Here is an 11,842-nt window from a genome sequence, read left to right as displayed (position 1 = left end):
ATTTTGTTGAGGATTTTTACATTTATATTCATAAGAGATGTTGGTCTGTAGTTTTATTTTCATGTGAAATTTTGTCTGGTTTTGGTATCAGAGTATTTCTGACCTCATAGAATGATTTAGGAAGTTTTCCCCACTTTTCTGTTCTTTTGGAAGAGTTTGGGAAGAATCGCTGTTAATTATTCCTTAAATGTTTGGTAGAATTCACCAGTGAAGCACCTGGGCCTGAGCTTTTCTTTGTGGGAAGTTTTAAAAACGTTTTATTACTAATTCAATGTTTTTGCTTATTATACACGCCATTTGAATTCTTCTTGAGTCAATTTTACTAGAAATTTATCTATTTCATCTAAGTTATCTAACTTATTGAGACACAGTTGTTCATAGTATTCCCTTATAATTATTTTTATTTCTTTAAGGTTGGCAGTAATGTCCCCTCTTTCATTTCTGATTTTAGTAATTTGAGTCTTCTCTCTGTTTCTTGATTAATCTCGCTAAAGGCTTGTCAATTTTTTTGGTCATTTCAAAGAACCAGCATTTGATTTTATTGATTTTCACTGTTTTTCTATTCTTCATTTCATTAATTTCCACTTGAATCTTCATGATTCCCTTCTTTCTGTTTGGTTTATATTTAGGATGCTCTTCTTTTCCCAGTGTCTTAAGGTGGAAGTTTAAATTATTGACTTGAGATCTTTCTACTTTTTATACAGGCATTTACAACTATAAAGTCCCCTCTAAGTACAGTTTTAACTGTATCTCATAAATTTTGATATGTTGTGTCTTCATTTCTGTTCATCCCAAAGTGTTTCATAATTCCCCTTGTGTTATGGGTTAAATTGTGTACCCCCTACGCCAAATGCCTATGTTGAAGTCTTAAGTCCCTGTGTCTAAAGTGTGACTTTATTGGGAAATCGGGTCATTGCAGATGTAATTAGTTAAAATAAGGTCACAGTGGAGTAGGGCGGGCCAGGCCTCCAATATGACTAGTGTGCTTATAAAATGGAGAATTTTGGACAGACATGAATACAGGGAAAACGGTGATTGGAGTTATTTAGCCATAAGTCAAAAAACTACCAGAAGCTGGGCAAGAGACGGTCTTGGACAGTCTTTTGAGAAAGTCTGCACTGTATCTTGGATCAACGTACAGAAGGGTTCTATGTACTATTGGCTCTGAAACAGTGAAGGGTCTGAGATGTTACCCTACTTGCACAGTCACAAAAACACAGACACACACACACACACATATGCACACATGCAGAAACACTAGAACTGTGGATCAGAGGAAATGCCCATTTATTTACTTACAGAACTTCTTAGTAGCAGTTCTTAGAAGGTACATTCTAAAGTATTTAGGTTAAAAATATCATAATGTCTACAATACATTTTTTGTAATAGCCGTATAAGATGCAATTCACCCATTTAAACTAGAATAGATCCTTCCCTAGCATCTGTAGAGGGAGAATGGCCTGGCTAACACCTTGTTCTTGAACTTCCAGACTCCGGAACTGTGAGATAATAATGTTTTTTAACTACTCAGTTTGTAGCACTTTGTTATGACAGCTCTAAGAAACTAATACTTTCTCTGATTTTTCTTCGACACATTCATTTTTATATAGGAGTGTGTTGTTTAAGTCCATGTATTTGTGAGTTTCCCAAATTTCTCTCTGTCATTGTTTTCTAACTTGACTACATTTTAGTCTGACAACATACTCTTTTAATAATTTTATTCGTTTTAAATTTACTGAGGCTTGTTTTATAACCTAGCATATGGTCTATTCTGGAGAATGAGAAGAATGTGTATTCTGCAGTTGTTGGTTGTAGTCTACAGATGAGCATTGATCTATTTGGTTTATATTGTTGTTCAAGTATCTATCTCCTTGTTTACCTCGTGCCTAGTTCTTTTTCTTTTCCTTTTTTTTTCGAGATGGAATTTCACTTTTGTTGCCCAGGATGGAGTGCAATGGTGGCTCACTGCAACCTCTGCCTCCTGGGTTCAAGCGATTCTCCTGCCTCAGCTTCCTGAGTAGCTGGGATTACAGGTATACACCACCATGCCCAGCTAATTTTTGTATTATTAGATGTAGAGACGTGATTTCACCATGTTGGCCAGGCTGGTCTTGAACTCCTGACCTCAGGTGATCCACCCACCTTGGCCTCCCAAAGTGCTGGGATTACAGGTGTGAGCCACCGCGCCCAGCCTACCTTCTGCCTAGTTCTGTCCATTATTGAAAGTGGGGCATTGAAGACTCCAAATAGTATTATTCAATTGTCAATTTCTTCCTGTCTTAGTTCAAGCTGTTATAACAACGTATTATAGACTGGATGACTTATAAACAACAGAAATTTATTTCTTACAGTTATGGAGGTTGGAAATAGAAATCAGGGGCCAGCAGGTCAAGCTCTGGATAGGGGCCTTTCCAGACTGCAGACAACTAACTTCTTGTTGTTTTCCTCAATGGCAGGAAAAGAGCAAACTAGCTCTCTGAATTGTCTTTTACTAGGGCTCAAATCCTATTCATGAGGGTTCCACCCTCATTACCTAAGTTAGGGCCCAAAGGCCCCAACTCCTAATACCATCACATTTTGGAGTTTGGAGTTTCAGCATATGAGTTATGGGGGACACAAGCATTCAGTCCATAACAGCCTTCATTTCTCTCAGTTTTTGCTTTATGTATTTTGGGGCTCTCTTGTTAGGTATATATGTTTGTAATTATTATATCTTCCTGATGGATTGACATTTTTATTATTATAAAATGTTCCTCTTTATCTCTAATAGCATTTTCTGTTTTAAAGTCTATTTTGTCTGATAGTAGTTCAGCCACTCCAGCTTTTTTATGGTTGCTTTTTAAATGGTTTTCTGTCTTTTACATATTTTTCTATCTATTTGCATATTTTCCCTATCTCTTTTAGTTTCAGTGTATTTGTATCTTTGAGTCTAAAGTGTGTTTCTTATAGACAGCATATATTTGGATCTTTTAAAAAAAGTTTAGCCCAACAATTTCTGATTTTTGATTAAGTTGTTTAGTTCATTTATATGTAATATTATTGATATCGTTGGGTTTATGTCTGCCATTTTACTTTTTGTTTTCTGTGTCTCATGTCTTTTTTGTTCTTTATTTTCTTTATCCCTCCTTTACTGCTTTATTTTACAGTAAGCAAACATTTGCTTGTGTTACGATTTAATTCCTCTAATGACTTTTTTCACTATGTTAAGCTATTTTCTTAGTGATTGGTCTAGGCCTTCTGATATATTGGTTAACTAGTCAAGAGTTACTTCAGATTCTACATGAGACTTATACTAACTTAATTTCAATTAGATATATAAATGTCACTTCTGTATGGCTCCATTCTCTTTCCCACCCTTCTGTGCTATTATTGTTATACATATTGCATCTATAAATGTTACAAACCCAACAATACATTGCTATAATTATGTAATTATAACATTTAATTATATGTATCTAATTTTTTTCTGTTTTTACTTTAAATTTTATGTATTTTAAAGAAGCTGAGAGAAGAAGGCAAGTATATATTCATAGCATCTGTTATATTAATCTACCAATTGACCATTTCTAGTTCTCTTCATTTGTTCTTGTGGATTTGAATTACCCATCTGGTGTCAATTCTTGACTCCAATATTCCCACTCACATCTTTAGTGCTGTTGTTGGCAAATACAGACTCCTTAACTTATAATGGAGTTGTGTCCCAAGAAACCCATTGTAAGTTGAAAATGAATTTTATACACCTAACCTACCAGACATCAAAGCTTAGTCTAGCCTGCCTGAAACATGTTCAGAACACCTACATTAGCCTATAGTTGGGCAAAATCATACAACACAAAGCCTATTTTATAATAAACTGTTGCATAACTTATGGAATTTGTTAAATACTATACTGAAAGTGATAAACAGAATGGTTACATAGGTGCCATCATAAAGTTGAAATATTGTGGCCAGGCCCGGTTGTTCACACCTGTAATCCCAGCACTTTGGGAGGCTGAGGTGGGTGCAGAAAAGCATTTGGTCAAGATCCATTATATGATTTTTAAAAATTTTAGCAAATTAGGAATTGAAATAATCTCCTTAATTCAAGAAAGGGTATTTTAAAAATTGAAACAAACACCACGTTTAATGGCGCAGCATTAAGAGCTTTCCCTGTGAGACTGGGAAACAGACAAAAATGCCGATTATCACCTTTCCTATTCAACAGTGTTCTGTAGGTCTTAGCCAATGCAACAAGGGAAGATGAAAAAAATAGAAATACACAATTTGGAAAGGAAAATATGAAACTGTCATTATTTGCAGACAATATGATTTTTATATGTAGAATATCTATAAGAATGTACAGATATACTGTTAGAATTAATAAGTACATTTATTAATATTGGATCCAAGGTCAATTAAAAAATAAATGGTATTTTATATATCCCAAACCAATAAAACTAATTTACAAGTTATAATTTATAATATCATCAAAAAGGAAATATTTGGAAATACATCTAAAATGTTCAAGACATATGTAAAAATCTATTGAAAATATATCACTAAATTAAATTATTAATAATTAAACACAAATGAAAACTAAATAAATTGAAGGAAATACTAGACCTATAGATTTACTGTTTATTGATGTACTTTTTTTTATAGATTATAAGACTCAATATTGCAAAATGTTAATTCTTCCGTCTAACTTATAGATTCTAAACAATTTGAATTAAAAGCCCCACAATTTTCATTGCAATTTACAAGCTGACTCTAAAATGTATGTGGACATGCAAAAGACCAAAAACAGCCAAACCCAAGAATGAGAGGAAATTATTCTACCCTATAGAAAGACCTATAACGATACAGTAATTTTTAAAATTACAGTAATTGCACTAAGTGTGGGATTGGTACAAATGGATAAATAGACCAGTGGAACATAATAGAGAGTCTGGAAACAGAGCAACACATATACGGACACTTGAATTTTATAAATGCAGAGACCTGGTGGAAAAACAGTCATTTCAATAATGGGTGCTAAATTGATTGGTTATCTACTTTAAGAATAAAAGAAAACTTCACTCTTACTTTACGCTATACACAGAAATCAATTCTAGGTGGACTGTGCAATGTGAAAAGTAAAATGATAAAAAGCTTTTAGAAAATAACATAGGAGCATTTCCTCATGACCTGTGGGTAAGAAAGTTTTTTTGGACAGAAAAGGCGATAACATTAAGTCAGATTGATAAATCGGACAACCTAATAATAAGACTTTCTGTTCATCAAAATATCTATTGAGGGAGTTTTTAAAGCTACAGAAAGGGAAAATATGTGGAATGCATATTGCTAACGAAGAAATTGTTTCCAGAATTTACATAGAATTCCTGCAAATCAAAAAGAAAAAGATAAACAACACACTAGAAAAGTGGGCACAATTTTCTATTAGGCTATTCACAAAAGAAGATATTTAAGGGGCCAAAAAATGTAGGAAAAGATATTCAACCTTATAAGTTTTCAGGGAATTGCAAATTTTAAAAGCACAATGGGATACAACCCACTGAAATGGCCAAACTTAAAAAGGCTGATGCTACCAAGGAATAGGAAGAGATATGAGCAACTATAATTCCCAAAAATGCCTGGTGGTAATGTAAATTGGTGCAACTTCTTTGTAAGACTGGCATTATCTATTAAAATTGAATATATGTATGTACTCTGTAACCAAACAATTTCACTCCTAGCTATGGAACCAACAGCAAAGCATACCCCCGTGTGTCAAAAGACACGAACAATAATGTTCTTATAACATTAGTCAGCCAAAACTAGAAACAACCAAAGCCCATCAGATATAAAATGGATACATAAATTGTGAGTGTGTTCATCTGGTTATAATTCATCAAGCTGAACACTTTATGATTTTCTATATAGTGCACATTGCTATACTTCATGTATACTTCATATGCTATACATCAATTAAGTGGGTTGTTGCATTTTTTTAAACCTGGTCTGGGGAACTGAGCAGAGTTTCAGCTGAAAGACACAAATCAGTATCATTTCAGGTCAAGTGATCAAAGCCTCTACCAATTTCACCGCATGGAAACTTAAAAAAATTTAAGACTTTTTTTTTTTTTAAGGAGGAAACAAACTCTTTTAAAGTCTGAGCCTGCATGCCGAAAGCTATGAAATGATGACAAATGATGACGTAGATCTTTGTCTATGCTCTAACATTCGGACATGATATACGATGATATTTCAATGATATTATCAATGATAACTGGGAAATATCTCAGATGAGGTTTCTGACCCTCCTTACTCATTGCTTGAACTCTTGGTTACTTTTCATATTTGCAAATTACTGCTAAGCACATACTAGCATTAAGTACATCAACATTCCTCAGAACAAATGTTAGAGCGAATACAAAACCTGTCCTCTTACCTAAAGCATATGGTTTTAACAACAACAGTGATGATTTTTCATGTACCAGAGATGAACAGTTTGGCTTCTGTCTTTTTAATGAATTCAATCTGTTCTTAGTCCCAGGCTTGTAGTATGCCTCTTTCTTTCTGAATGGCTCTCAAAAATGAAATGACAATCTGTAGATGCTTCCCTTTACCACCAAGGGTACTCATGTTTTGGAAGACATGGGAACAGATGAAAGTATTTGGTTCTAGGAATGGAAATTACAGATGGATAGAATCCCATTACAATGAGCTTCATTGGCATTTTCTGTTGAGCAATTAGCCCTTGCCTAAGTGGAAAGGCTTTCCACCACATTCTGAAGGGAGCAAGGCAAAGTGGGATTTTATTTATTCCAGAAAAAAAATTTCATATTTCCAGCCTCTTTTTCAGATAGATGTGTTCCTTTTCCAGACAAGACGCTTTTTCACGTCTAAGGCTAAGGGTGTGTGTGTGTGTGTGTGTGTGAGAGAGTGTGTGTGTGTGAGAGTGTGTGTGAGTGTGTGAGTGTGAGTGTGTGAGTGTGACAGAGAGCGTGTGTGCGTGTGAGTGTGTGAGAGAGTGTGTGCGTGTGAGTGTGTGAGAGAGTGAGTGTGTGTGAATGTGTGAGAGTGTGTGAGAGTGTGAGTGTGTGTGAGTGTGAGAGAGTGTGTGACAGAGCGTGTGCACGTGTGAGAGTGTGTGCGTGTGAGGGAGTGTGTGAGTGTGTGTGCGTGTGAGAGAGAGTGTGAGAGTGTGTGAGAGTGTGTGAGTGTGACAGAGTGTGCGTATGAGAGTGTGTGAGAGTGTGTGTGTGAGAGTGTGTGCGTGTGAGAGTGTGTGAGAGAGTGTGTGAGAGTGTGTGTGAGAGTGTGTGCGTGTGTGTGTGAGAGTGTGTGTGAGAGAGAGTGTGTGTGTGTGTGTGAGAGAGAGTGTGTGTGTGTGTGTGTGTGTGTCTGTGTCTGTGCCTACACAATATGTATTCCCGAACCTGGGCCTGGAGTATAAATTAGATATTTATTAGGGATTCTTATTTATACTTCATTACTTTGTTTAACAAATGTTTTAAAAGTCCAATTAATTTAATCTAATTTTTAATACAGCAGAAGCTGCATGCCATAAGATTGCATGACAAAGTGCTATAAATGATATAATTCATTTGAAGCAAGATTTTGTAAACACATGCACAATAAAAATCGCCAGGTGTCTCTTATTTTGTAGATGTTGTCATTAGTCAAAAGTAAGCAACATGCAAGTAAAAATACAAAAAAAGACATGTTATAAAATAGTCCACAATATTGACGGCACACCTCCTTTTGGTGGATGCTCTCAGACCTTTTAGAATAAAACATACTGAAATACCACCAGTTATTCTGTGTTCCTCTGTTCACAAAGATTCTGGGCTTGGCCAAGCTTTGCTCAAGAGCCTTTTCCTAGGCCCATCTGTGTACTTCCTTGTAAAATCCAGTTTTAGAAAAAGAGCCCTTCTAAGTAAAGTTAGCCAAAACCTCCCACCCTCCGTATCTGATCATCCTTGATATCTGATCGGGTTCCTCATCCTCCATCAGCCCCCAGATGATGTCTGATTGCCCTGGCTTGCCTTCTGCAAGAATCCTATTAGGTCAGGTTAGCCAGAATCCCCCTTACCCTGACATTTCCTCTTAGTAATTTTCTATCCACTGACCACCCCCCACCATTCCTTGGCCAAAAGTTCACTTGCCCACGCTATGTTCAGAGTCGAGGCCAATTTCTCCCCACCATAGCAAGACTCCATTGTAGCGGTCCCAAGACGATCACAATGGTCCTGAATAAAGTCTGCCTTATGGCACTTTAAGAGGCATCATTGGATAATTTTTCTTTAACACTATCATTAGTTTTACTTAGTCCTTAAAAGGCAATCTACTACTACTCAGAAGCCCAAAGAACACATGGTTTATTTTCTATTATTGATATAATCTTGTTCTCAAACTTCCAGTCTGTGTATGTAGGATGCTTGTGGGAGGAGGAGAAACGGCTTGCCAAGTAAAGCTATCTCTTCTGGTTTGAATACTCTAGTCCAGGTAAATGTTCGGGTGTTCCAAGGTTTTCCCCTTTCCCTTCTCTTCCCTAAGACAGTGTTTGGATATAGATGCTTAGTGAGGGCCGTCTCAGGGTGGTGAGGAGATGGGGGCCTCAGGTCCCCAAGCCCAGCTCCTTGTGCTGCCTTCTGGATGATTGCTTGCCTCATTGTTGATGTCTCTAGTTACCTGCTCCCTGTGCACAGATGGCACTCACTGGTGACACTTGTGGCTCATGAATTTGTGGTCTATTATTTTGGCTGACCAGGGCCAATAGACACCCCTCGCTTTGAGTCCTATCAGCTCTGGCTGGCATTTCTGGCTGCTATGGCTCTTAATTGTGTCCTCCAGAAGGGAGGAAAAGAATTTTCTCTCTACCCTTTATAGTTCTGAACTACAGTGCTTAGTTCATAGTTCCTGTAACAAAAGACAGATTAGCAAGATAAAAATGAATAGAGGTTTATTAACATGTGTACCTCATGTATACAGTGGGAAAAAAACAGAGAAGTGAATCTCTAGACTAGCTCTCCAAGAAGGAGTCTAAACTTCGGACTTAAATGCTGTCCCTTGTCTGAAACAAAGAGATGGCCAAGAAAAGCTCCTTAAATAAAGACAAGGCTTGTTACGCAGATTTCAGGTGATGCCTTCACCACTGCTCAAGAGTGTCTGGAGATCTAACCATCCTTTCCTTCCTGGTGCAGAGAGGGAGCATCCCACCAGGTGGAAAGAGGTCCTTTATAGATGTAAATTAATTTTACAGAAGAACAACTTTTCAGAGTTGAACTTATGTCTGCAGTTTCTCAAAATAACCAGCTCAAAATAATCAATGTGCCAAAGAGGTGTATTTTGGGGTGGCATATTCTGGTCTCCTCTAGTCATATTTTGGGATAGTGGGTCCCGAGCACCATCATTCCATCTGCTCTTGCTTTCTTCCTTTTCTTTCTCTCTTCCTTCCCCCATCACCCCCTCCTTCCCTTCTTTCTCCTCATCTACTCATACTTATTGGGTACCCAGTATAAGCACACACTCTACTAGGCACAGGGAATCTATAAATAACCCTGAGGACTGAACTCTGATCTTTTTTCTCCTGTCCAAATTCCTATATAAGGGGCCTGGGGAGTTAAACCCCATAAACCATAAACTCTTGTTAAACAGATTTGTTTTTCTTAAAAAGAACTTTCTTCCCTATGGAAAAATCTGTATTTCAAATTCATGTTTACTATTAAATACAGAAATCTATCTTTCCGAATGAGGTTGCTTAAGTTCCAAATTATCCTAAAACCCAGCACCCAACTGATGTATTGAAAACTCTAGGCTTGGACAGGTGTGGTGGCTCATACCTGTAATCTCAGCATTTTTGGAGGCCAAGGTGAGTGAATCACTTGAGGCCAGGAGTCTGAGACCAACCTGGCCAACATGGCCAAACTCCATCTCTACTAAAAATACAAAAACCAGCCAGGCAAGGGGCACATGCCTGTAGTCCCAGCTAAATGGATTTTAAAAAGTTAACCTGGTGTAATGTGGCTTACTTTCCAACCTAATTCTGGTATAGCATCACAGGACAGGAGCAGACCTCCTTATCTTAACTCAGGCATTCCTTTCCAAGTCTTTAGGCAAAGCTTAAATCTCTCAACCAATTGTCAACAAAAGAATCCCTAAAACCCACCTATGGCTTGTAAGCCCCTATTTCGGAATGTCTCGCCATTTTGGACTGAACCAATGTATCCCTTCTGTGTATAGATTTATGATATTGTCTGCAATTCCTGTCTCCCAGAAATGTATAAAAGCAAACTGTAACCTGACTACCTCGGGCACACTTTCTCAGGAACTCTTGGGATTGTGTAGCCCCGGACCATGATCACTCCTAATGGCTCAGAATAAACCTCTTAAAATATTTTGATAAAATTTGGTTTTTCCATCAGCCAACACTAAGATGCCTGCTCCTTGGAGCTTACATTTTAATGGTGGGAATCAGATAATGAGCAACAAGCAGAAATAAACAGATAGTATGTTAGAAGGCGATGAGTGCAATGAAAAAGAAAAAAAAATTGAAGCAGAGTAAGTGATATCGGGTGCCAAGATGCAGGGATGGGGCAGGAATAGTGTTCCATGAAGTAACTGCGACAGGCAGGAGCAGCCAGGTTTTGTGGGACCCAAAGCTTATACAATTTGAAGGGCCCTCCTCCTTAAAAAACACAAACCTGGGGCCGGGCGCGGTGGCTCACGCCTGTAATCCCAGCACTTTGGGAGGCCGAGGCGGGTGGATCACGAGGTCAGGAGATCGAGACCATCCTGGCTAACACGGTGAAGCCCTGTCTCTACTAAAAATACAAAAAATTAGCCAGGTGTGGTGGCGGGCACCTGTGGTCCCAGCTACTCGGGAGGCTGAGGCAGGAGAATGGCGTGAACCCAGGAGGCGGAGCTTGCAGTGAGCCGAGATCGCGCCACCGAACTCCAGCCTGGGCGACAGAGCAGGACTCTGTCTCAAAAAAAAAAAAAAAAAAAAAAACAACACAAACTTGGAGCACAAAATTAGTCCCTAAAGTTAATATTTGACAATAGGTGAAAGATTTATACCAGCTGAAGGGAAATCAGAGTTTTGAATATGTATTTAGAATTAGAAAAGATTGCAAGTAATTACTGTAACAATGGCATTACAGGTCCCTATGTTCTGATTAGGCAATTTCCCAGGAATACTGACATAGAAATGCTTTCTAATCATAAACTGGCCTCACCTATCCATGTTGTACAACTATGAGCAACTTCTAGCACACACAGGGCCTGTGGGAATTATGTACCCCAAAACTGAAGCTTCTCTAGCTTCCCAGATCAATGTGCCTTTGCAGCTGTGTCTCACTGAGAAGGGGTATTTGTCCAGGAGAGAGAGAGTTAGCCAAGCATATAGATACCAGGAAGAAAATTGTCGCAGAAAGAGGAAACACATTCCATCCAGAGCCTCCATCTGTGCCATAGGGGCTGCTCCATTCATGGGCGTTTTAGCAGGTGTTGGGGTGGCAAGGGAAGAGGCTGGCTAGCATCAGTTGGCTGTGCCATACTTTCTGCCTCCTTGCTGAATGCCTCTTCTGCCATGCAATGCAAAGATCTTCATAGTTTGTGTCCTCTTCCCCAGGTCTATCCATATGTATGTCTCTTCCCTAGACTTCCTGGTTCCCATTTTTCAAACTTATTCCTTCCATGTCCTTAACAAACCAGCAAAAGCCATTCTGAGAGTCCACAACCCAAAAGCTTATGCCTAAGATTCCATGTGTACACTGACCTTGAACCATGTTCTTCTCGATACAAAGGTATCACTAGGTGCTGTGTCCAGTGCTTGGCCCAGTGGGAGGACTTTTTCCTCATCACCATCTTTCAGGGC

Source organism: Homo sapiens, chromosome 4 (genome assembly GCF_000001405.40).
Source record: "Homo sapiens chromosome 4, GRCh38.p14 Primary Assembly".
In the NCBI taxonomy this organism is placed as follows: domain Eukaryota; kingdom Metazoa; phylum Chordata; class Mammalia; order Primates; family Hominidae; genus Homo; species Homo sapiens.
This window is presented reverse-complemented; position numbering follows the sequence as displayed.